Raw genomic sequence first — 27382 nt, forward strand, 5'->3', positions numbered from 1 at the left:
GATAGTGACACAGGGCAGGCAAGCCCCAAAACTGGTTTGTAGCGTGGGAAATTTCTCCCAGACTGTAGTCTCCTTGGCTTTGCCAAGAAAAGAATTCAAGGATAAGCCGCTGGTGAGAGAAAGCAACTTTTATTGAACTGGTGCTACTTCTTGCAGAGCAGGGCTAACCTATAGGCAGTGTGCCCAGAGTTTGTGCCTGTGGGCTACTAGCTAGTTGTATTTAGAGCCACTTTTAATTGCATGCCAATTAAGAGGTAGGTTATTCAGAACTTTCTGGGAAAGGGGCAGGGAGTTTCCAGAACCATATAAAGTAACTTCCAGGCCATTGCCAAGGTGTGTTGCCATGACATTTGTAAACTGGCCATGGTCCCAGTGGTAGTGTCTTTATGCTCATAAGCAGTGAGGGCAACTAGAGGTCACTTTCATCATCATCTGCTGGTTTCAGCAGGCTTCTCCACTGCACCCTGTTTTGACCAGATCCTGCTCTGTTCAATGGGGTTGGGAATGGAAAATAAGTCCTTCTGGTCTCCTACCTCATTTCCCCATCAGAGATTATATACTCCTCCTTAATCTTAAGGGGCTTGCAGAAGGGCGGAGGTTCATCTTCTGTAACTGCTTCCTGCTGATGTTATGGGCATAGACCCTGCCTAGCACTGGAGAGGTAAAATCCCTGGATACCTGTTCTAAAAGGCTCAAAGGTAGGATGTCTTTATCTTCTGGGTCAGAAGAGGGGATGGGTTGAAAGCCTTGTGCCAGCATCATCTTTACATGGAATTATTGTAATCTGGAAGACACAAACTTTACAAGGAGGTTAAACAAGCAAAGAGCAAAGATTAGTAATAAAAAGATATCTATTAAAGGTCCTAGGAAGGGTAAAAACCAAGTGTCTGCTGGTAGAGATTCCTTTACTGAATTCCATCAGCAGGGCAAAGCAGTAAGAGGGAAAACATTATAATTAGGAGTAAGAGAAAAACTTTCATGCTCATCCACAGCATCATGTTATTATTGTTATCTGTGCATTTGCAAAACAATAGCTTTAAGTCTTCCGGGCGTTTGCAAATATAGGTCACAGCATCGTCCTCTGACATCTGTGAGGACTCATAACAATCTTTGAGGGCCGGGGGCGGTGGCTCACGCCTGTAATCCTAATACTTTGGGAGACTGAGGAGGGCGGATCACGAGGTCAGGAGATCGAGACCATCCTGGCTAACATGGTGATATCCCGTCTCTACTGAAAATACAAAAAAAATTAGCCGGGAGTGGTGGCGGGCGCCTGTAGTCCCAGCTACTCGGGAGCCTGAGGCAGGAGAATGGCGTGAACCCGGGAGGCAGAGCTTGCAGTGAGTTGAGATCGCGCCACTGCACTCCAGCCTGGGGACACAGTGAGACTCCATCTGAAAAAAAAAAAAAAAGGATCTTTGAGCCTGGGCATAGTGGCTCATGCCTGTAATCCCAGCACTTTGGGAGGCTGAGGCAGGCATTTCACAAGGTCAGGAGTTCAAGACCAGCCTGGCCAACATGGTGAAACCTCGTCGCTACTAAAAATACAAAAAAAAAAAAAAAAAAAAAATTAGTCAAGCATGGTGGCACGTGCCTGTAATCCCAGCTACTCAGGAGGCTGAGGCAGGAGAATTGCTTGAACCCAGAAGGTGGAGGTTGCAGTGAGCCGAGATCGAGCCATTGCACTCCAGCCTGGGTGACAGAGCAAGATTTCATCTAAAAAAAAAAAAAACAAAATTAACTTTGAAGTTTAACAGCAGTGGGGGTGCTTAATAATGCCTGATAGGGGCCCTTTCCATTTTGGTTGTAATTGATTCTTGGGGGATTCTTCTTTCTAAGTTTTTAGTAAGACTAAGTATCCTGGTTGAATGGGCGAGTCAATCCTTTTCCTTGTGGGAGGAGGTTACGTTTCACTTCCATATGATTGAAGGGCCTTTTGAACCTGGCCTAAGTTGATAACCTATGTATCTCTTCATCAAACAGAACGTCTAAAGTTAAAAAGGGCCTTCCGAGCTGCTCAGGCGACCCAGCCTTCCATCGCTGCTGCTCTAGTGTTCGGTTGGCCTGGGCCACACTCAACTGTAGGGAGCCCAGGCCAAGAGGCAGCCTGGGCCTTCTGCATTGCGAGGCGCCGGGCCTCCCGCATTGCGAGGCGCCGGGCCTCCCGCAGCGCTCCGCTGACGGGCTGCGGGCGGGCAGGCGGGAGGCCTAGTGTGGGTCGCGGTCGTGGCCCCCGCCGCCGGCCCTGGCCGCCGCATCATGAACATAGATGTGGAGTTCCACATCCGGCACAACTATACCTGGAACAAGTTGCCGGCCAATGTGAGACAGTCATTAAGTGGAGATGGCTCATCATGGAGGTCTTCATCCTTGTCTTCACAAGTAGGCTGAAGAGGAGGAAATACAGGATGTATTGGTCTTGCTGTTCAGGGTGGTAGAGGAGGAAGAAAATCCCAGTCGTCTTTGAAATTCACAGAGAATATGAAAAGCAGGTTGTCCTGTACAGTATCTGCAATCAGTTACGATACAGAAATAACTTAAACATGTCAAGAAAGATGAATGCAGATACTGTGAGGAAGTGCTAAAGTACAGCCAAGATCATCTCATGCTGTACCCTTACCATCTATCGGATATTATGGTGAAGGGCTTGAGCATAACACCATTTTCATATTATACTGGGATTATGGAGAATATTATGAACAGTGAGAAAAGTTATGACTCATTGCCCAATTTTACTGCTGCTGACTGTCTAAGGCTTCTCGGCATAGGAAGAAACCAGTATATTGATCTTATGAATCAGTGTAGATCATCAAAAAAATTCTTCAGAAGGAAAACAGCCCATGATCTTCTACCAATAAAGCCAGTGGAAATTGCCATAGAGGCGTAGTGGGTGGTGCAGGCTGGATATATCACATAAGATGACATCAAGATACGCACTTTGCCTGAGAAATGTGCCTGAGAAATCAGCTTCATCGGCAACTGATACTGATACAAATAGTCAAGAAGATCCAGCTGACTCAGCCAGTGTAAGCAGCCTGAGTCTGTCTACAGGACACACGAAACGCATCGCATTCCTGTTTGACTCCAGTCTTACTGCCTTCTTAATGATGGGATATCTTTCACCAGTTCAGAGCACTGGTGAAGGAGAAGCACAGAGGTATTTTGATCATGCATTTACTCTGAGAAACACAATACTGTTTCTGCATCATAACAAAGATCTAGTTGTGCAAACTGCACAGCCAGACCAACCCAATTATGGTTTTCCTCTGGATCTCTTATACTGTGAAAGCCTTCTTGGTCTGGACCCTGGAACTTTCAGCAGAGTTTTAAACAAAAACTACACGCTGCTTGTTTCCATGGCTCCCCTCACCAATGAAATCCGGCCCATCAGCAGCTGCACCCTTCAGCATATTGGACCAGCTATCCCAGAAATCAGCTCTGTCTGGTTTAAACGGTACATTTATCATATCACTGGACAAGGACCACCATCCCTTTTATTGTCCAAAGGTACAAGACCTCAAAAACTGCCAGATATATTTCAGAGTTATGATCGATTGCTAATAACATCTTGGGGTCATGATCCTGGAGTAGTTCCTACCTCAAATGTGCTCACGATGTTGAATGATGCTTTAACACATTCTGCAGTTTTAATTCAGGAGCATGGTCTGCATGGGATAGGAGAAACTGTCCATGTCCCATTTCCATTTGATGAAACAGAACTACAAGGAGAGTTCACTCGTGTCAATATGGGTGTTCATAAAGCATTGCAGATACTAAGGAACAGTGGACTTACAACATCTCTGCGGATATGTCACCATGTTGAATGTTTCCATCCAACTTGCAAATAGAAAACTCAGTGATGCTTCTGATGAGAGAGGAAAACCTGATTTGGCTTCTGGCTCAGATGTAAATGGGAGTACAGAGTCATTTGAAATGGTCATTGAGGAAGCAACTACAGATTCAGCAACAAAGCAAACCTCTGGTGCCACAACAGAAGCAGATTGGGTTCCTCTCGAGCTGTGCTTTGGAATTCCACTGTTCAGTTCCGAATTAAACTGGAAAGTTTGTAGGAAAATTGCGCTAAATAACTTATCAAAAAAAAATCATTCATATTTAAACATCTTCTCAAACGTCAGCCCATTTTCTGGCACAAACAAGGAAGCAGTTCTCAGTGATACTATCTGTCCAAAATCAAGTGCACTCAAACCATCATTTTCTTGTTTGAGTAGCTTGGGCTACCACTCAACCAATAAAACATCATAATGTTCTTAATTTTCTAAACTGACAAGGCTATATAATAAAAGGTACAAAATGTATATAACCACTCATCATAGGTAAGTGGCGGATTTTCTTTCAGTAAAGGATTTAAATACTATTATACTTCAACAGTCAAGCTAGACTTACTTTCTAGGTCTTATATTAATGTTAATTGAGAACTTTCATAATTACTTCCTATATAAAGATGAGAATTATCTGACTTTGAATTTCTATCATATTAGTATATACTTTAAGTCATAATTGTGAGTTTGAAACCTACATCAATAATACTATATAAGTTCTAAATTAATTGTAAAATATTGTCAAAAAAATTAAAATATTTACATATCATTATCCCCACCATATGCATTGGAAAGAGATTATTCTTTATGACATATTCTGGTATATTTCCCGTGAATCTCTATCTCTTGTGAAGTTTCTTCTTATGCAATGCCTGGTCACCAGGGATCTGTGAGGTTCATGATAGAAATACTAATAGCAGTTACTGAAGTCTGAGCTGACTTGTGTGTTGCAGATGCTGTGTGTCAGAGTGAAGTATTCTTATACAGTAAAGTACATTTACTTACTTAAGTCCAACTGTTCCCTAGTTTTCCAAGGTCAAGGAAAAAAATGAGTTATAAAATGGAAATGGAAAAACTCTCTCTGGTTGGCTTTGTGGTTATTGCACCAATATCTATTTCTTAGAAATTTTCCTGCTAGCCAAGTACAGTGGCTCACACCTGTAATCCAGAGCTTTGGGAAGCCAAGGCAGGAGGATCCCTTAATCCTAGGACTTCCAGACAAGCCTGGGCAACACAGGAAGACATCATGTCTACATAAATTAAAACATAGCCAGTGTAGCGGCACACACCTGTAGTCCCAGCTACTTGGGAGGTTGAGGTGGGATGATCATTTGAGCCCAGGAGGTGGAGGCTACAATGAGGCAAGATTGTACTTGATACGGTTTGGCTGTGTCCCTATCCAAATCTCATCTTGAATGTCCATGTGCTGTGGGAGGGACCCTGTGGAAGGTAATTGAATCATGGGGGCAGTTCTTTCCGGTGCTGCTTTCGTGACAGTGAGTAACTCTCAAGAGATCTGATAGTTATTATATGGGGGAGTTTTCCTGCACAAGCCTCTTTGCCTACTGCCACCTACGTAAGACGTGACTTGCTCCTCCTTGCCTTCCGCCATGACTGTGAGTCTTCCCTAGCCAGGAGTTCAATTAAACCTCTGTCTTTTGTAAATTGCCGAGTCTGGGGTGGTCTTTATCAGCAGTGTGAAAACAGACTACTACAGTAAATTGGTACCAGTAGAGTTGGGGCTGCTGAAAAGATACCCAAAAATGTGGAAGCGACTTTGAAACTGGGTAACAGGCAGAGGCTGGAACGGTTTGGAGGGCTCAGAAGAAGACAGAAAAATGTGGGAAAGTTTGGGACTTCCTAGAGACTGGTTGAATGGCTTTGACCAAAAACCTGATAGCAATATGGACAATAAAGTTGAGGCTAAGGTGGTCTTAGATGGAGATGAGAAACTTGTCGGGGACTGGAGCGAAGGTGACTCTTGTTACGTTTTAGCAAAGAGACTGGCAGCATTTTGCCCCTGCCCTAAAGATTTGTGGAACTTTAAACTTCAGAGAGATGATTTAGGGTATCTGGTGGAAGAAATTTCTAAGCAGCAAAGCATTCGAGATGTGACTTGGGTACTGTTAAAGGCATTCAGTTTTATAAGGGAAGCAGAGCATAAAAGTTCAGAAAATTTGCTGCCTGACAATGTGATAGAAAAGAAAAACCCATTTTCTGAGGAGAAATTCAAGCTGGCTGCAGAAATTTGCATAAGTAACTAGAAGCCGCATGTTAATCCCCAAGACAATGGGGAAAATGTCTCCAGGGCATGTCAAAGGTCTTCACAGCAGCCCCTCCCATCACAGGCGCAGAAGCCTAGGAGAAAATGGTTTCATGGTCCAGGCCCAGGGTCTCCATGCTGTGTGCAGCCTAGGGACTCCATGCCCTGCGTCCCAGCCACTCCAGCCCTGACTAAAAGGACCCAAGGTATAGCTTGGGCTGTTGCTTGAGAGGGTGGAAGCTCCAAGCCTTGACAGCTTCCATCTAGTGTTGAGCCTGCAGGGGCACAGAAGTCAAGAACTGAGGTTTGGAAACCTCTGTCTAGATTTTAGAGGATGTATGGAAATGCCTGGATGCCCAGGCAAAAGTATGCTGTAGGGGGCAGGGCCCTCATGGAGAACCTCTGCTAGGGCAGTGCGGAAGGGAAATGTGGGGTCAGAGCCCCCACACAGAGTCCTTACTGGGGCACCACCTAGTGGAGTTGTGAGAAGTGGGCCACTGTCCTCCAGACCCCAGAATGGTAGATCCACTGACAGCTTGCACCATGTGCCTGGAAAAGCTGCAGACACTAAACAGCAGCCTGTGAAAGCAGCCAGGAGGGGGGCTACACCCTGCAAAGTCACAGGGGTGGAGCTGCCCAAGACCATGGGAACCCACCTCTTGCATCAGTGTAACCTGGATGTGAGACATGGAGTCAAAGGAGATCATTTTGGAGCTTTCAGATTTAACTGTCCTGCTGGATTTTGGACTTACAGGGGGCCTATAGCCCCTTTGTTTTGGCCAATGTCTCCCATTTGGAATGACTGTATTTATTCAACGCCTGTACCTGCAATGCATCTAGGAAGTAACTAACTTGCTTTTGATTTTAAAGGCTCACAGGTGGAAGGGACTTTCCATGTCTTGAATGAGACTTTGGACTGGACTTTTGAGTTAATGCTGAAATGAGTTACGACTTTGGGGGACTGTTGGGAAGACATGATTGGTTTTGAAATGTGAGGACATGAGATTTGGGAGGGGCCCAGGGCAGAATGGTTTGGCTGTGTCCCTACCCAAATCTCATCTTGAATTTCCATGTGTTGGGGGAGGGACCCAGTGGGAAGTAATTGAATCATGCGGGCAGGTCTTTCCCATGCTGTTCTTGTGACAGTAAGTCTCAAGAGGGGAGTTTTGCTGCACAAGCTCTCTTTGCCTGCTGCCATCCATGTAAGACGTGACTTGCTCCTCCCTGCCTTCTGCCATGGTTATGAGGCTTCCCCAGCCACATGGAACTGTAAGTCCAATTAAACCTATTTCTTTTGTAAATTGCCCAGTCATGGGTATGTCGTTATCAGCAGCATAAAAACAGACTAAGACAGTACTCCAGCTTGGGCTACAGAAAGAGACCCTATCTCTATAAAAATAAAATAAAAAATGTTCCTGCTATTCAATACTACATCGTATCTTCTTCAGGATAGTTCATTTGGGAATCGCTAAGTTTACCCCTGACTCTAGGGATGGGACATGGAATTTACACCTAAAATAATCAGCGTCTGAAAGGACGTCCCCTCTCTGGATATGGAAAAGGAAGAACTGCAGGAGTTGTATGCAGCTGCCTTGCAATCCCATGGGAAACAATGCTAGCTCACAGGAAGGCAAAAGCTGACTGTTGAAAAGAAACCAAGTCCTTGAAGACATTGTTAGGCCCCAAACCAATCAACCCAGAAACCCATTTACCACTGAATCTAGAGTTAAATAAGCAAGAAAATCCCCTTTTATTTAATCCAGTCTGAGTTGGGTATTCTGTCATTAGCAAATGAAGGCATCCTGACATGTGGGAATGTCAAGACACACAAGCTCTTGTGCAGTTTTCCATGCATGGGGACAGTGCCCTGGCATTCCAGAAATCCTGGCTTACTTATCACCACTCTCTAATCAACTGCAAATAACATTTTAAAACTAAGTGCAAAGAGAATGATCAGGAATATCATAAAATCTGCATTTATTTAAAAAAAAAAAGGAGCTTACAGTGAAGTAGTCTCAAGCAATTGCTTTCTTTTTTTTTTTTCTTTTTTTTCTTTTATTATTATACTTTAAGTTTTAGGGTACATGTGCACATTGTGCAGGTTAGTTACATATGTATACATGTGCCATGCTGGTGCGTTGCACCCACTAACTCGTCATCTAGCATTAGGTATATCTCCCAATGCTCTGCCTCCCCCCTCCCCCCACCCCACAACAGTCCCCAGAGTGTGATGTTCCCCTTCCTGTGTCCATGTGATCTCATTGTTCAATTCCCACCTATGAGTGAGAATATGTGGTGTTTGGTTTTTTGTTCCTGCGATAGTTTACTGAGAATGATGATTTCCAATTTCATCCACGTCCCTACAAAGGACATGAACTCATCATTTTTTATGGCTGCATAGTATTCCACGGGGTATATGTGCCACATTTTCTTAATCCAGTCTATCATTGTTGGACATTTGGGTTGGTTCCAAGTCTTTGCTTATTGTGAATAGTGCCGCAATAAACATACGTGTGCATGTGTCTTTACAGCAGCATGATTTATAGTCCTTTGGGTATATACTTCTCAAAAGAAGACATTTATGCAGCCAAAAAACACATGAAAAAATGCTCATCATCACTGGCCATCAGAGAAATGCAAATCAAAACCACAATGAGATACCATCTCACACCGGTTGGAATGGCAATCATTAATAAGTCAGGAAACAACAGGTTCTGGAGAGGATGTGGAGAAATAGGAACACTTTTACACTGTTGGTGGGACTGTAAACTAGTTCAACCATTGTGGAAGTCAGTGTGGCGATTCCTCGGGGATCTAGAACTAGAAATACCATTTGAGCCAGCCATCCCATTACTGGGTATATACCCAAAGGACTATAAAGCAACTGCTTTCTAAGTGGGATGGCTGAAGCAAGAGACCTTAAATCACTTGACCGTCTTCACAAAACAGAACTGAAGCAGAACCAGAAGTCCCCTGATAGCCTTTCAGGGACACCACCTACAAATACACCGTAATCCCTCATACTCCACACGCCACTTCAGGGAAAGGGACATGAGGCAGGAATACAAATATATACCATCTGTGACACTTCCTAAGCTCCTGGCTTCAGAGTAGCCATCCTGATAATTATTTTTTAAAGTCCACATTATAAATGTGCAAGTTAAGTGAGTTATGGAAATCATTCCAGATACTGGTTCACCAGTAACATCAGTTTAGCCCTAAATATTGTCATAAGTTCTCTGATAGGCTCATGTGATTTAAGCTGGTGCTCTGCCAAGACTAGACTTAGGCGTTTTATCCTTTTTATGACATTATGTATGTTGAAGAGAATATATGAATACATTTTATATATATGAATATATATAAAACCTTCATTATCACATTATTCTCAATCCAGCATTTTCTCAGCCCCTGATTTTCATGTTAGTTCAGCATTCTTACATCTTTACAGATTTTCATCTAAGACTACATTTCTACTGTTTTATATAATCAGCCCCCCTAAGATCAACATGTCCACATTTTTTGGCAAAGACAAAGCCTACTGATTTCAGGATCATTATTTTCCTTTTTCAAAAGCACAAACCCAAACTGAGAAATAAATCAAGAGAAATTCTCCTTTTTTCTATGCTAATTTAGAAGTAGAGTCTTTATTTCTTTTCAAACCCAAAGAGAATCAGACATACAATATGAATTTATCTACTTTCGCTTGCTCAGACTGAGAGGAAAGATTAATATTTTCAGGCTGTTAGTCAAAACTGTTCATTCAAATATTATTTAATAAAATCCAAGAACCAGCTAAAAAGTCGCTTAAGCTAAGAAACCTTCACCAGCCTCATGGGAAATTGTGTACAGTTTTCTACTAGAATAGCCTATAAATGCTTACTGAAAATGTCTAAGTTCATATCTTGGTAACTAACATTTTAATTCAATCTGCAGAATAATATATGCTTCTTTAGTGCTAAGATATGAATATTAGAGGCATTCTTTCTTAAAATTTCTATTTAGTTATACTTTCACAAATAACTATATAATATTAAAATTCTGCATGTGGCATAAAACATATTTTAATGGAGAAGGTAATGTGTAGGGAGTTTATTTCTGTTTGCTATTAGAACTTGTGTTTATTCTTGGTTAAAAAAACTGCACTGATTACAACATAGAAAAAAACAAAAGTATGTTGTATATCTCTTACAGTAGAAGATAAAGAGTAGTTCTAAATTTAGAAAGGAAAAATAAATATACACAGTGAAAATATGTGTCAGTGAGATGTTAATCAAAGATCAACTATTGCTGAGACCAGCAATATTAAATCCCTGCACAATTACTCATATTATAATGAGAATTTTAAAAAGAAAATATGAACACATAACATAATGAAGGCAGAAGTCACTCTCATCCTTCATCTTTGTATTCCCAATTCAGGAAGCTGGTATAGTATCTTCATTATAATTACTATTCAACAAACATTTGTAAAATGAATGAATAAGGAATGAATGATGAGAAAAATGATAAACATCTCCCTCTGTCTCCTGGGAGTTAACTGCACTACTTTCTTTTAAATTTAATTAATCCTCAATGTCCTTGTAAAATAGCCAAAGGGAAAATGTATTTACATTACTCTAAATATTGATGCAATCTACAAAAAGGGTTAAACAACTTCCTCAAAGTAAATAAAACGTTCACAATCCAGCTAGGATAAAAGGATTTAAATCATTTCCTAGGTAGAGGGCTTTCAATTAGAGCCCCTGCTGCATTAACCATGGGAACTCATCTCACTCTCTTCATGATGGAGCCCTGAGTGTTGCTGCTAATCTGTACTCTACCATTCTAATGCTTTTAAGGTTCCTTTTCAGCCCTTCCTCCTCGTAATCCACAAATACTGAGACCAAGGCATTTTTTGGGTCAGTCCTAATTTCAAGCATTCTATCCTGCCCTCCCCAAATGAACTCACACTTATTAGACCATATGTTCCTATATTAGTTCAGGAAGGGGGAAAAAATGTTCATCACACTTGTATATAAGAGATCATAGAAAAACAGTTTACTAACCTGTGAAAATACCATTCATTCTCTGTTTACCTCTGGTCCACAGCTAAGCAATCAGTAGGATAAAAATGTACCCTATGTTCACTATTCAGTATTCATAAGTATACTACTTATGAATTGGAAATCTGACACAACATTTACATGACCTAATTTTGAAAATTTAAAATAGTGTAAGGCCCCTAGGCTTAATTTTACAGGGGAAAGATTAAAGGGACACAAGCAAACATATATTCTCTCTCTGTGCTGTGGGACACTGGTAATTTTTTGACTTAAAATATTTGATACTTAAGATGCCAAACTTCTACATTTCTGCAGTAACAAGGCAGTTATCATATTGAATACCATTTCTTTCTCTCCAGTAAGTAGAGTTAATATTAGCACATGAACTGAAAATATTAAGTGATTATAAAAAAGTCCAAATAAATTCATTAAAATTTAGCTTGGCAAAATGTTAGTTTCATGTTCTTGGTAGAAGTCCTTTTATATTTATATTCAAATGAAATGAACAATTTACAAGCAAAGGAAATGGCATCAAATATTTGACACCCTGCCTCCCAAGGTGTATTGATTCATGCTTTTTGCTCAGATCTAGGTTTCTCCACTCAGGAAAAGAGGAGAATGTACCCATACTTGGGAAAACAAGTTTCCGATGGCACAGCTTTGATCAAACAGCAAAATTCTATCCATCTATGTATTGCCATCTGACAGTATGACAAATGGTCCCATGTGCGATATTCACACTGCATTGCAGTCAAACCTGTAAGTCAAAGGATATGAAATAATAGTAACTACACATTAAGCACAGAAGAAAATGAAACAAACAAAAAGGTTTTAAACCAACCAAACATATGTCTTATTTTGGATGTTCTATATGTTCTTACATTCTCTCAGGTCTTTTGTGTCATTATGAACACAATTCTAACAAGCTTGATTATTTTATTTCCATTCACATATTACAGGCAACAAGCTGAAAAAGTAGAATGGGGTGTAGAGAGACAGGACAAAGTACAGATTAGGGCTTGAAGTGCCCCTGACCAGTCGACAGCAACCACATGGAATAATGACTCATGTGCATTAATGATCACACTAAATGATATTTGTTTTTTACCTAGTCCTTCAACTGACAGCTTAAAGAACTTCAGGTTGTTCTGATTCTTGAGTCTACTCTACAGCTTCAGAGAGGACTTTCATTTTATTTTGGATCAAATGCTCCACAACTAGTTGAAACTGGAATTAAATTTTATATGAAGTTCCTAGATGATTTAAAGCTGTAAGAAGAAGAATAATGAATCATAAGAAAACTTGCTGCTACAGATATCAAAAAGGAATGTTACCATCCCTCATGCTAATCCTTTTTATTTTAAATAAACAGGATCTAAAAAAAATAATGCTGGGAAGTCCTAACCACATCAAGAATGCCTCAGATCAGTGACCCAAGGAACCTTCCAGAATGGATGAAATAGACCCAAAGCTGAATTCACCTAATTTTAGGGCCAAAAACCCAAAAAACAAAACAAGACCAAAAAAATCTTCAGATACTGGGAGAACAAATCTCAATTGCTCAATTGTATCTTATGAAAACAATTTTTCAAAATAAAACAAGAGATATTTAAGATTCATTAAGTTCTTGTCATTTCAAATTTTAAGAAAAATATTTTCTAATGGAATTACATATATTTATATGATTCTTCTAGTTATATCCATGGTAATAAATACTCTTTTCAGTTGGAAATAAAACCCATTTGTGCTATATTATTAGGGAAAATATCTACATAAATTAGTTTTTAATTTAAAGTCTATCTTTTGAATTCATAAGCATAAAATTTTAACCACTTGCAAAATTTATAACACACTTAAGGTAGTCAGATGCCTTGTCAAGTAGTTTAACAAAAGTGATTTTCACCTGTTTGTTTTAATAACAGTGCATCGATTTTATGAAAATCAGGCATGCCCTCGGGTCCTAACAAAGTATACGAAGCTGAATGGATCTATGCCAAATATGCCAGATTTTACTTTCTGAGTCTGATTTTATACTTCTGTCCTCTTTCTTACCACATGGCTTCCAGTATCACTTACAGACTAACCCTTCAAAAGGAGAAGGCTAAGTTACTAACATTTGGAAGGCTTATGAAAGTGAAGCATAGTTATGAGCCAGCAATGTTTTTATTTAGGGAATGTGTGCAAACCACACACTTAAGCAAGCTCTGGGGAATGAGAGTTGGGGGGAATCAACTCTTTTATTTGCTAATTGGTATTTCCTTTAAAAGATAGAGTTCTTCCAGATTTTAACTGTGTTAATAGTTACTCTAGAAAAATTGGAGATTTGTGTGCATATATTTTATGTTGTAAACAGACACATACCCAGAGACACTGAGAGAGACAGACAGACAGTAAACAGAGGAGCACTAACCACAAACGGTTTACAAATGACCTCTGTGCTCATTCACCTGTCTGTTCCCCACCTTGCCTTTTATAGCAACTATAGCAACAGCCATGAGAGTCATTGTGGAAAGAAATAAAATAAAATTAAAAAATCCTGGAAGCTTGTAAAGAATGTGAGCAAAGGGGAGGAAGTTGTGAAAAAAATGAATAAAGGGCACCGATCCAGAGTATTGAAGAAGGCAGAGTGGAGAGCCTAGTAATGAGTATCTGGTACCCCAGTATCCTCTCCCACAGAATCTGTACAGCTCTCCGTTTATGACAGTTTAAACTTAATTTAAATTATCAAACAGACACTTTCCTCAAACATATAAATGATGAGGCAGTTCATTCAGGCTGTATGTATAAAGTTGTTCCAGCCACCTTTTTCTAACGGCTTCTCTATATCTTTTACATGGAGACAATGAGAGATTTGCTTAGGACAATTTGACTGTAATTTAGAAGTAGGAAATGGGAAGTATTTGTATCTTCTTTGCCTAACTCACATTAGTTACTCAAGTAAGCATTTCTTCCGTTATTGCATTTTCCTGATTACAAGTTTTATGTTTTCTCTAAAACACATATCAAAAGAAATGTCCTAAGCACTATGCAGGGGGAAGCCATGACATTTATCTACCACTGTCAGCAAAAACATGAACTTAGCCCTCAACAGAATATTTCACTTCATTCTAGTGTCACCTCTGCGTCACCTGCACTGGAGTCACCACTTGCCTGTTGGGTAAGACCAGGATGCACCGCTGAAATAAAAAGGGGTCAGACAATACAAGAAAAGCCAGTAGAAATTGCCAAATGTATCAGAATACACACAGGCTTTCTAAGGATATGGCCCAAGAGGAAGGCTCTAGAGCCCACCCTGAAACAGGATTTTTGACTTCACAGAGAAATTATTTAATTTTCAATAACACAATTCAATTAAAGAAAGGGAAATACAAGGCTAAACAAATAAGAAATGAAGACAAAAACCCAACCTTTCAAATCTAAAGAAAATAATCTGTTTTAAAGACACAGATGAAGATCAGGAACCCAAAACAGAAGAAAGGAAAAGCAATTAACGCTGGCATCTGATAACAACGAAAAGTATGGAGTCTGGAGAATCGCTAGACTCTAAAAATTATAAAGGTTTAGACTTGGACTTTGTACACTGAAGAAAAGAAAACTGCATGCATTTATACTGACCAATGTACACTATTGCTGCTTTTTAACTTTTGTGTATATGTAGGGTAGATTTTTTTTAAGTGAAAGCAAGCTTATTAAGAAAGTAAAAGAATAAAAAGGTGGCTTCTCCATAGGCAGAAAACTAGCGTAGTTTTTTTATTAGAAATTGTTATTCAATAATAGTACATGTTACAAATAAATACCATTTTAAACTGAAAAAATTGTAGACTTTCAAATCAGTTAGGGTGGTCACCCTAAAAAAGGGCATTTTTTTCCCGTTAGTCTCCTTGTTCATGTTGCTCACAACAAGAAATGGGCTCATGCTATGAATAATAATAACAAACACTGCCTTCTGTCAGGCCCTGTGCTGAATACCGTCTGCATATGTATAGGAAAGGGTTAACTCAGCAGGTCTTGTTTGCCCAGACTCTGTACATTTCCAAGAAAGGTCTGCCTTTAGGACTGGTCCTTGGCCAGCTCCTGGAGAATGAGCTCTCAGCTTTTAGAAAATTCTATCTGCTAAGAATAGTTTTGCATGTCTCAGGTCTTGGGCCACAAAATATCAGTTTAATCAGATGGTTTATGTTAACAAGTATGATTTATGGCAAACATAGATCTCTAATCTCCATTTCTCTCTCATATATCTATATTTATCTATCCATATTATATGTACCTATATATATCAAATATGAAGATATGTTTATAGCAATTGCATATACATAGAGAGATAGTATGTAGTATGAAGAGAGACATAGATATTATTCTTCATTTTAGAATGTTATCTTGGTATGTTTAAAAGGAAAAACTTAAGATGTGTTGCAATTGCAGTATGAGTTTCAGGTATGTACATGTTATGTGTGTGTGTGAGAGACACACACAAACACATTTCAAACATGTTTTATGTTTAAGCTCAATATTCAAACACAGAAATATAACATCTATTCTTAATATGTTTTATGTAAGTACAGCAGCAGCATTATTAAATACTGTATTTCTATGGTGATTGAAAATTAGTAGGCAGAGAATTTTTGTAATGGCTCTTAATAATTTTTGTAATAGTAAATGATTACTTTTTGTTTAGTATAGTTTTATAATCTATACATGAATAAAGTGGATATTTCTATTCATATAGAAATGTGATTTACTCTCATGTACTTATCTACATGCTAAAACCATAAGTTATCAATTTTAGTTCTGTGCCAAGGCACTTTTACTGAATAAAAATAATCAGCTAATTTTATATTTTCCTGATTCAAATTTATATGCCCGTGTAATGTTCCGGGGTTTTTTTTTTTTTAATTTCTGTAAATCAGAATATTCAGATGTTGAAAAAGTCTTTGCCTTCAGATTTAAAAGATACCTTTGAAATGTAGCATATCCCAAAATGCAACCCAGAGGCTGGCAATGTCAACATTTTTCTGTTTTAAAAAACCTCTTATGAAAACTATTGCCATACTAAATTTTTTACTTGCTGATGACTTACAGCTGGAAAGGATTCTGTACATATAAGACATCAAATATTGAGGATACTGGAACTTTTAAATTAATGGCAAAGAAAGTCAACAAAGGAAGTTCATATGAAATCAAACTAGTAATATGATTACAAAAAAAAAAAGTTTAAAATTTTTCTTGGCCCCAGTCTTATCATTTCTGAGCCAAATACAATTCTATCGAAATCACCTGAAACTGAAATCACCATTCTAGGCTGGTTTTCCCATAAAGATGGACTGCTCCAAAAAGAGGAATCAAGAAAGAATTTGGCTCACAGTGAATTATTCACTTTGTCTTAGTTAAGCAAAAATAAAATCTGACTGTTAACTACAGAAATCATTTCAAATTCTGTGGTGATAATAAAGTAATGACCGCTTTTCAGCTGGAGGGACTAACTTTTTTTTTTTTTTTGCTGCATATATAGCTGTGGTACATTTTAATGTGAAATGATGACTGCATCAGCTTATATCCATGGAGCAGATTTTAGCATTCAGCTTGGGTCTCCCAGTCAATATCTACGAGTCTCTTCTTAAGGAGATCAATGACACAGATACATACAGACTAATAAATGTGATACCAATAATCAAGAATTCACTCAGTTAAGATTTTGCACACTGATTTCCACACAAGAAACCTAGAATTTACTAGATTCTTGTGCCTGTGAGGCTCCACTCGTTTCCCTGAATCACAAAAGCTACAGAGTATTTAGATAGAAATATACCTACTCTTAACATGAACCATTTTAAATATATGTATTACTGTGTCCACAGGAGTACACTTTAAAGCAGGGACTTCACTCTTCAATCTCTCCAATCACGTGTTACCTAAAGTGGCATGTGGTTCCCTAAAGCTTAATAACTGACATTGCCTTAAAAAAGGGGTTTGCTTCCCGACTAATGTGGAAAAAGTCTGAAAAATGATTTTAAATCTTTCACTAAATTTCTCATTTGGTCACATGGAGGAAAGTGATTTCACCAAATAGATACTCTCATTAATTTTTTAATGTAATTTATCAAAGAAATGAAATATTTAGATAAATTCCAGATTTCCCCCACCATGAGCTTCTCCGAAAGTATACTCCATCACAGACTGCTCACTAAGAAGCTCTACTGTAGTCAAAGTGACCGAATTTAAGGGGACATAATGACTACTTCTGCTACACAGAAACATTATCCATCTCTAACACTTCCCTATGAGACGGAAGACGGACTTCTAATCAGGTACCAGAGAGGGCTCTGCCAACTTCAGGGCTTTGATGAATAAGAATGGTTGAGAGCGCTCATCATAAATGAATTCAGTATAACTGAGTGAGAAAGTGAGAGAACCAGAGAAATAAATCCTCATGTAGAAAATTTAGGGGCATGAAATGCCAAATGCCAGTTAACCAAAGCTTTCTTTGTCATAAAGCAACTTCTATAAAAATTGCTGAAAATAAATTCTTCATGGCTCAATGTGAATCAGTAATTTCCATTTCTATTACACTGTTGTTTACCCAAAAACTATTTTTAATGACTAAGACTCAGAGTTTGCCAAAGTGTTTTCCACAAAACAACTGTTTTGAGATACTCCAGATCTGTAATCAAGTAAGTCTGAAAAACCCCAAATACCTCACTCACCTCTTGGATATGCATAAAGCACACTAATATATAACGTTCTAAAAAGCCAATCATTAAAACTGTTTTATATTGTTTAAGCATTTCCTAGACATATTTGGCTACAAATCTAACATCTAATTAAACAGTTTGGGAAATGCCATCACATAATGTAGGAATATTACTAGTCATTTAAGAAACTAGAAAATATTTACTATATTCTAGGCAGTTGGCTAGCAGTTGGAGTTCTAGTCTCTAAACAAAATACTGACTTATTTCTGTGACTTTATTCTTTTAAGCAGCTCTGTGCTTCACAATTTTTTTTTTCCTGGTTTGTTTTCCACTTTTGTCTGTACTTTATTCCTTCACAGATGTGAAAGGCTAACAAATGTAAACTAGTTATATTAATCAGCCTCTGCCTCAGTTCTACACTTCAAATACAGTATATACTCTATCAACAATTCTTGGATAATAACAACCTGTACTTGTTTTTCAAACAATAAAACAGGCCGGGCACCGTGGCTGGCTCACGCCCATAATCCCAACACTTTGGGAGGCCGAGGCGGGCGGATTACCTGAGGCCAATATGGTGAATTCTCCTCTCGACTCAAAATACAAAATAATTAGCTGGCCGTGGTGGTGTGTGCCTGTAATCCCAGTTACTTGAGAGACTGAGAGGAGAGAATCGCTTGAACCCGGGGGGCAGAGGTTGCAGTGAGCCAAGATTGCACCACTGCACTCCAGCCTGGGCAACAAGAGCGAAAACTCCATCTTAAAAATAAAATAAATAATAAAACAATGATGAAAACACAACTAACTACAGCACTTCAGAGTTAGTTGACAAATCCACCTTTTCAATCTACATTTCAAAATGTTCAGAAAGACACCATCCTAGGGGAAGTCAACCAGCAGCAACCTCTCTGCTAATTTTTGTACACAGAAACTTGACCTGACTGCACAAAGATTTCAATAGATGTCTCCCTCTAAAATTAATATTGGATGATTTGTCATCTTCCATTTAATACCAAAAGGGTATCAGCCACAAACTGAAATATCACTCATATGCAAATAAATAACATTCAAGACTTTTATCGTTGTGGTTATTAATCTTGTAATGGATGGACATAAATCTATTTACATTCTCATCCTATCCTCAAATTTCACTATTCTCTCCTCTCATTCTTACTTTGTTCTACTCATATTCTCACTCTATCCTCCTATGCATAAAATATTATGTATTCTAATGAACAGAGATACCATTCGTCGACAAGGAAAAAACACAATGAACTGCTCTTTATAATAAAAACCATGATCTTGACACAGATGTTATCAATCAATAAACTTTACACAGCTTTACATTAAATTAATACAAACTGCTGATGAGTGGGTGGGGGGTGGTCACTAAGCAAACAGAAGCATGTAGGTGTTAGGAAGCACGAGAAACATATATCAGTGGGTAGGGAAGGCAGCTCTCAAAGGCCAAGAATATAAGTTTTAGGTCTATATGGAAAAAGCTGTGGTCACATTCGAAGGCTTCTGAACAGAAGAATGATTAATTTCATGCTTAAAGAGTTCAGGTGTAAATAAACTGGATGGATAAGAAACTCAAAATCAAGAATTTTAAGACACTGGGTTAAGGTGATTGAGTTAAGTCAAAGCCAACAGGGCATGGGCTAAATATTGACATGGGATGGGATGAAGAGGCCAACAATGTTTCAAAGTAGAGGTTGCCGGAGCTTCAGGAACCAGAAGAGGAAGACTTGAGGTGAAATCTGAAACTGCAATCCCCATGCCTGGCTCAAAAGATGTGATACTGACTAGGAAAAGGCTGGAGAGAGAAGCTTCTTTTAAAGAGGTAATAAGGGATTGTTTTGATGTGCTGGGTTGAGGTGAAAATGACAAATATTCAGGTGGAAGTGTCCAGCATTCAAGTAGGATAACTTGGAACAGAAAGCCCAAATTATGTCATGGTGAAATGAGGATAATGTCTTATTAATAAAAACACGTCTTACTAGTCTTTCCTGGGGAACATGAAAGATAGAATTTCAGAAATTTAGAGAATGAAAAAGGAAAGATTACAAGGCAATAAGTTGATTAAAATACTAAAATAAACTAATCAGTGGCAGCTATCTTAAAGCAAGATATATCTTCTACAGCACGATCTACCCAAATGCAAATCTGGGCAGAGAAATACAAAATATTTTTAGGACTGACAAAATTTCAGCTATATGTCTTTTTAAAAATGCTGCAGAGAGAAATTTAGATGGATTGGACAAATATTTGCATAAGGATTCCACAGCCAACGTACACAATTTTCCAACTACTATGGTTAGCACTGGGCTCAGACACTACCTTTGCCAACCAGCAGATTTTCAGTACTGCCCCTGGCAGACATCCCATTAGCAATCTCTCCCCATTCCCAAACATTCCCAACTATTCTAGTCATGCCAATTCAACCAATGTCCCTTAAGCCTTACATAAACATTGACTTACACCGAAATGTATCCTATGGCTCTTACTAACTGTAACTTACTTAAATCACTCAAGCCTCTGTTTTCCCTGCTATAAAATGTAAAATAGCTGACAAAATACCTATTTGTATTTTTTGGAAACATGGGATAAAGCAAGGCAAGCAAAAAGAACAGCAGAGACAATGCTTAATAAATATCCTAGTAGGATCACCTTAATCCATGAAGAAAATGGAGTTTAATTTTTTTAATACAAAAAAACTCAATGAAGTTATACTTACGTTAAATTGGTGGTTATTTTAGGTCAGTGGTTTTAAAACTCAACAATGAAACTGTTTTCAAAAAGAGTTGTTATACAGAACAGAAAAAAGCAGCCACAATTTTAAAAAAGATATGAAGACCCAGATTCTCACTAACTCATTCAGCTCCCTTCATACTCCCTCCCCACAGCCACCTCAGCTCCTGAGGCAGGTTCCCAGGGCTCCAAGGAACATACTTTTAAAAAATCAGTATTTTGAATACATAATAAGTGATGTAACTTAAAAGTATGGTGAGAAAGTCCCATTGCCAAGAGAAACATGTTAATTTTTTATTTAAAAAATCATCACTCTTTTCATTGTGACATCTTGAAGAATGCTGAATGGCTTCAAAATAACTGCATATGCCAAGATTTCTGGAGTGGGCACGTTTGATCTTCTTTCATAATGAAAACTGACAAACCTTTTTAGGGGGATAGTATTGTTTCTTCACTCTCCCCCCTCCTCACCCCTGCACACACATACATTTCTCCTTCCTGGGGAACTCCAAAGAAAACAAAGGCCCTTTAGCAATCAAGTAGATTGTCTCTCTTGATGGCATCCCATGAGTTATGGAATTACATACTGCAGGCCCGGGTGGATTAGGGCCCCTAGAAAGTTTGCTTGATCAACAGAGTGCTGTTGATTTTTTCAACTGAATTAATTACTCTTGGAGTCCAAACTCTCCAGTGTGCCACAGTCCTCATCACTTCCTGTATCTTAAATATTGCATTATCTGTCCCCTAAAAGTATTTGAACATGTGACCCAGAGAAGAGGACTTACAACTTGACTAGGCAACTTCTGTCACACTGGATTCATATGAAATTCCACTGCAAGTGACATCACCAGATTGGGGACCCTGAAGTGTTTGAGTATCTTCTCCACATCTGGTCATTTAGGCTAAGAAATTCCTTCTTGTCTACCAGGTCTTTTAGCATTCATTGTGTAAGTCATTCAACACCTACTTACTGAGAAGGAATACTGGGCTAGACAGTGTGCTAGGGGCTGGGGAAACCGCAATGCATAGGAGAGAATTCCCATCTCCAAGAGGCTCACAGTCAAACAGACATAAATAGGTGATTACAATATACACTAACAACATAGTTTTAGAAACAACTAGCAGAATTATATAGACGAAGATGCCAGGAAAGGCTTCTCAGAGAATCTGGCTTGGCAAATATCTCAACAAAGAGGGCTGAGCAGGGATGAGCCGAAGGAGAGGATGGAAAGTAGGTTGTGGGTGAGTTTTCCAGGCAGCATGTGCAAAGGTCCAGGAGAAAGAGGAAGGAGCCTGTACTTGGAGGAATATTCGATTACTATTATCAGTGTCACACTTGCTATTCATCTAGACAGAAGCTCCTGAAACAAAAAGGATACACTTCAAAAGATGCCAATATATCCATGACCACACAAAAGAGTGTCTAGTCATATAATAAAGGGTGTACATAGGCAGGCAACTCACATCCTGCCAAATATTAAATTTCTAATTTTATTATAATTTCTAATAAAACATTAGATTTATTATTATACAGAGTCATACTCCTCGATTGGGAAACTCTCAACTCAATAAACATTCTTTAGTCTCATGTCTTTTCTAAAGGAAAGAAATTAATGTTATATTCTTGGGTGAAAAAAAATGTGAGGTCTCAAAAGAGTATAATACAATTTGGGGATGCATATATATTTTACATGTATATAGACACATAAAAATCTAAAAGAATAAATTTTAATATGTTAACAGAAGACAGAAGTCATGTATTTTTTACTTTCTTCTTTTTGGCATATCTCTTTTTCTAACTTTTTTTTTTCTTTTTACAAAAAACAATTGTTATTTGTGTACTTTTAAAACCTCACAGTAATATTTTCACACTACCTTCTTGGCTGAAAGTTCACACTCGGAATTCCAGAGCAGTCCATGGCCAGGCCCACTGGGCTCCCCTTGCTCTCTCCTTGGCTTTGGTAACCACTGGCCCCAGGGACTCAGCCTGCTTTCCTATCCATCCCCTCAGTAGCTGTCACCATGCAGGTTACCCCTTCTGTTTCTTCTACCACTAACTCCATGTCTGACTGCAAGTGAAAGGAACAGAAGCCCAAACCTTTGGGTTTTAAGGAGTTTATTGCTAATCTGTAAAACAGAAAGAGACAGGAGATAAGCATGACAAAATATAGGGAAGAAATGACTTTTGCCTAAACTTCCAAACTGTGTACAATTGAAGCCTCCGCTTTATAGCTCTTAGCACACCTCTCAAATAAGAAGGCAGTACTGGGAAGGCTCTGAACCTGTGGCAGAACCACCGATAGCTGTGGAGCTATTCCAAGGAGTCTGGGAATCAGGGGAATTATCAAGATCATTGTTAGAATAAATTAATCTTACTGTATATATAGCAGAAGTTTTCAAGCATATGTAAATGCTACTAATAACCAAATAATTACACCTTGTTTTTCTTTAAACTGTAACTCTCAAGTATGTCTCTACATAATTTTTTGATGGTAGTGTCTGCATGCTCAAAAAGCTTGAAAACACTACTGGAGAAGAAGGTCTCGGGAGTGTGATGAAATACGTTTACATGGCAGCTTCATCATTTAATTGGTGAAAGTGACTATGTGTCTTAAACTCTCTGAGCCTCAGTTTGCACATCCAAAAGCAAGGATATAATTCCATGAACCTTTCCACCTCAAGTCCACAAGGCAGAATAGCAAGATGTTAACTGCCACTCTGAGGACCACCAAATAAAAGGACAATTTATTAGGCCACTTGCCAGCATGGACACAATCGACTCTTGGCATTTCTTATTATCCACAGAAAAATTAAAAGTATAAATGTAGAACAAAATTATCGTGTTTTTTTTAATAGTAACATGTAAGATCAATCTTTGTCTTTAAAATACCGTGTATCTCATTCTTGGAAAGCGTCAAAATGAAAATGGTATAGTAAGTTTTATCTACAACTTGAATTAAAATTATTCTTGAAATATGTTCTGAATGGTTAGATGAAATGGTAATTAAATACAAATAGAGATAATCATATACTCTCTCTCCATAAGGCTCCCACCTCCTTCAATGAAGTCTAGTTCACCTAAAATGACACTATTAACATTAATTCAATATTATAAGTTGATAAGCACATTAAATCAAAACACAGCAAGATTATTTTAAGAGTCTGACTGAAATGTCAGGATGAGAAATAGATTAATAAATATTGGCTTCTAATGTCGGTAATGAAAACAAACACGTTATTTTCAGAAAATAAAAGGTCTTCACCATTAGGTACAAATCATAAAGGGATTATCTACGGTTACTACACTGTAACAACTTTTTACATATTGTATTATAGAACAAGCTTTTGAGAAGACAAAGCAACACATCAGCAGTTTAACCAATTGTCTTTCTCTTTTAACAGGCTGGTCTACACTAGATTACATATAAAAGGCCCAGGTATTACTTGTGTTCGATCTTAGCCAAATGGCTGAGAAACATCCAGGTACATTTAAATCAGTGACAAAAGAAAACATTATCCCTTAGTAAAATTACATAAAATAGGAAACATCTCTTACTTTAAGAGCAACCATGGTACTTGTTCCTATGGTGAAAACTGATGTTATCTCGATTAGTTAATTATTCATCCCAACACCTGGTCTTGCTCCCTTTTCCACCTCTAGCTATGTTAACACTAGAGTTCAGTAATTAGCTGATAAAGAATCTTAACTGCAGTATCTAACAGATCTTAGTGATTAAGCATATGACTTACCCTTTGTACAGATAAGTAAACTGAGGCCAAAAGAACTGAGGTATCTTATTAAAAATCAGAGAGCTAGTTAGTTGAAAAGTCCACCTGTCCTTCCTTTCCACATGTCTCACCAGAAAAACAGCAATGGTGAAAAGTCAACTCTGTTTTTAATGGGCCACTTTGTATATTTTAACTGTTAAAATAATCCAAGAGGATAGTAGTCATATACGAAGATCCTTTAGATATAATGTGTAGGACCAGCATTAATTTAATCAACCAAGTCTCCTCTCATTGAATTGTTAATTCATAATTACAAAGATGACATTACAGTAAATTAAGAAATACTGTAATTTCATTCTCTCCAAAAAGTATACATTGAAGTTTGGTGAATACTGTTATATTTTCAACTAGTAAATCAATGTGCCAATTCTGGGTCTTAGGCATATTGTATATACTGGAATGATATTCACTTTAATTAAATTTGTTTTGAGAAGTAGAATGTAATACAGATCCTACGTGTTTTTAAAAGTTCACATCAATTTCAAGCTTTTAAAAATGTATGTACACAAGAAAGCTTCTTTTGCAATTTATATGTTTACAAATGTTGCCATTAGCTAAGCTATATTTTGGAATGTGATCAAACAATATTGAATGTCAAGTCTTAACAGCAGGGCTGGTCTAAGGAATTCCCTCTAAGCTAAATCTGATCCTTTCATATGTGGCTACTGCTCTTTTAAACTACTGTATCCCTAAAGGGCTAAAAGGAAGAAAATCCTAACTTAATAAGTGAAGGCAGCAAGGCATAGTATTTGAATGGCTACCTTTCATTTTAACTCTACTTCTTAAATTCAAAATTGGATTTGGGTTCGTTTCAAGTTGTTCACAATTTACTAACGAAATGTGCATCTCTCATTCTTCCCCCAAAAGAAAGAAGTCATCCACTCCAGCTACATATAAGTCTCCAATTTCTGTCTTACAACTAAACGTGAAAACCGAAATACCACTCATTGAAAAAAAAATGTACAGAGAATTGGCAGGCTGCATGTTTATGTGAACCTTCAGAAAACATGGAAACACGCAGCCCCAACTCACCAGGAAAATCAACACTTGTGATCAAACTATTTTGTGACATTTTATGTCTTTTATACATTTCACTTCATATCCAGTATTCCAGTTTTGCACCGGCTTGCCTGTATCAACCCCAAATCGCCTGAGAGCAATCTAGTACTGTAGCAGAACCGTTTCAACATGAAGAGTTCTGCTCATCGCCTGTGGCGTGGTCTTCGAAACACCTGAATCAAACATTGATTCCCCTCCCCCTGCTATTTAAAACCGTGGGACGTCAGGCTTGGGTTGTAGGTAAAGAAAAGCCACAGTAATCAAACAAGCAACCAAAATACCCGAACACGGAACACGCTAAGAACAAAGGAAACACAAGAGTGTGAACAGGAAATGAAGCAACTCTACACCCATAAATACCTTCTGGGGCCGCCAACATAGGTAAAAGTAAAGGTGGAGTCTGAGTATCTGAATCTGAAACAGAAAGTCCTGTCAAAAGCTACCCCTGGAGTGGATTTGTTTTAACCCCGATCAGGACTTGGGCCCTCCATTTGGTGGAGTCAGGGGAGGCCTGGCCGGGCGGGAGGCGAGGGCTAGAGGGCGGCGAGGTCTCTCCGCGCAGCGTCCGAGGGGATGCGGCGCGCCCCCGACTGGGTGCAGCGGCAGGCCGCCCCCGGCAGCAAGTGCCGGGTGCCATGGCAACGGCGGGAATTTCCCGGTCGGGGAGGCCGGAAGCAGCCCCAGCCGGGCTCGCGGCAGCGAAAGCAAAATCCGATCTCTCTCCCGGGGGAGCAAAATGGACGAACGGCGACCCCCCAGGCAGGGGCGCTGGGTGCCTTGGGAATCCGAGGAATCCCTTCTCTTTGCCAGTCGGAGGGGACTAGATGGAGCCGAAGGGGCCGGAGATGGGCCGAGCGCTGCCCCCCGGGGGTCCTCGGCGCCGGGCGCAGCTTACGAGCGCAGGGCAGCAGGCTCCATTCCCGGCCGCCGCCGCTCAGCCCATTACGCAAACCTGGCGGGTCCAACCAACCCCGCTCTGCCGCCGCTGCTGGAACCCAGGAGGCGTGCTTGCAGGCTTCGGGCACTACGCGGGGCTGGAAATACCACGCACTGCCCCTTCGCCTAGACCCCCGCTCGGGCCACTCGGGTTCTGCCTTCAAAGCTAGTAGCTGCCCCAGACTTGGGGGTGGGGGGAGGGGAAGGGGCGAGGCTGGCGCCCCCTCCCGCTTTTGGCTCCCGCGTTCGTTGCAGCAGCTGTCGCCAAATGAACCCCGGAATGCGGACGTGCAAACCCTCCACCCCACCCCCAGCCACACACGTCGCGGTCGGAGAACTGAGAAGGGGGCGCTGGGTCCGAGGTTCTGGAAAAGCAAGAACTCACCTGCAAACAGGCAGTCCTCAGCTCTGGACTTCTGGATCACGACGTCGATATCCTTCTGAATTCGGTCTTGCCTTGAACACATCCCCATTAAATAAATCCTTGGAAAAGAAGCAGCCGCTATTTCCACCCCACCCCCCTCGCACGCTTTCAGCTTTCGTAAATATTCAGTTAAAAATGAAACCTCTGGCCGAGGCAGGGGCTGAAGGCCAACTGGTTTCGGAAGTGATCCTGGGTGAGAGGAGGAGAAGGAGGAGGAGGAGGAGGAGGTGGAGGAGGAGGGGGAGGTCGGCTTTCCATTTCCAGATGTGACCGCCCAGCTGCTGCTCGCCGCTGCTGGATTCCAGTTTCCTCCCCTTCTGGCGACGGATTGGTGATGACACCGAGTCTCACTTTCTCCTTCCCCCGCCCGGACCAACCGCCGTGGGGGGCCGAGGGTGCCGGGGACGGCCGGAGAGCGATCACCGGCTGGGCGGCGGGAGCCGACGAGGGGCGAGCCCCGCTCCGGCTCAAGCGCGCACACCCCTCACGGCCCGCACTCCGGCCTTCCACACCCGTGCACACTCTCGCCCGCGGGCGGCGGCAGCCGTGCCCAGGCTGCTGCAGCGCCACCCGCCCGCCGCGGACCC

General features: G+C 39.9%; 2 long non-coding RNA genes and 1 pseudogene across 3 annotated transcripts, besides 3 other annotated features; 1 reads left to right on the forward strand and 2 right to left on the reverse strand.

Moving 5' to 3' along the window:
* Positions 1-113: 113 nt before the first annotated feature.
* LINC01138 (long intergenic non-protein coding RNA 1138) lies at positions 114-27075 on the reverse strand. 2 transcript variants are annotated; one of them, NR_027468.3, is made up of 5 exons: positions 26757-27075; positions 3599-3719; positions 2301-2509; positions 1595-1716; positions 114-1394 (listed from the first exon to the last, which is right to left on the reverse strand). It is a non-coding gene; the product is annotated as a long intergenic non-protein coding RNA 1138 (long non-coding RNA). The 2 variants fall into 2 exon arrangements; NR_104014.2 differs by lacking the exons at positions 1595-1716; positions 3599-3719 and having other exon boundaries at positions 114-798.
* LOC647481 (family with sequence similarity 91 member A1 pseudogene) lies at positions 2011-4124 on the forward strand (annotated as a pseudogene).
* On the reverse strand, positions 7592-12307 carry LOC105371224 (uncharacterized). The gene is made up of 2 exons (XR_001737711.2): positions 12256-12307; positions 7592-11904 (listed from the first exon to the last, which is right to left on the reverse strand). It is a non-coding gene; the product is annotated as an uncharacterized LOC105371224 (long non-coding RNA).
* Positions 25656-26194: an enhancer, noted in NCBI's record as "NANOG-H3K27ac hESC enhancer chr1:143743100-143743638 (GRCh37/hg19 assembly coordinates)". NCBI's record gives its function as "activates a minimal SCP1, AML or CMV promoter by ChIP-STARR-seq in primed H9 embryonic stem cells {active_cell/tissue: H9 hESC(primed)}" and the evidence as "EXISTENCE:reporter gene assay evidence [ECO:0000049][PMID:30033119]".
* Positions 25753-25912: an enhancer, noted in NCBI's record as "active region_1647". NCBI's record gives its function as "activates an Ori minimal core promoter by ATAC-STARR-seq in GM12878 lymphoblastoid cells {active_cell/tissue: GM12878}" and the evidence as "EXISTENCE:reporter gene assay evidence [ECO:0000049][PMID:35858748]".
* Positions 26734-27271: an enhancer, noted in NCBI's record as "H3K27ac hESC enhancer chr1:143744178-143744715 (GRCh37/hg19 assembly coordinates)". NCBI's record gives its function as "activates a minimal SCP1, AML or CMV promoter by ChIP-STARR-seq in primed H9 embryonic stem cells {active_cell/tissue: H9 hESC(primed)}" and the evidence as "EXISTENCE:reporter gene assay evidence [ECO:0000049][PMID:30033119]".

The sequence above is a fragment of the Homo sapiens genome, chromosome 1 (genome assembly GCF_000001405.40).
Source record: "Homo sapiens chromosome 1, GRCh38.p14 Primary Assembly".
Taxonomy (NCBI): Eukaryota; Metazoa; Chordata; class Mammalia; order Primates; family Hominidae; genus Homo; species Homo sapiens.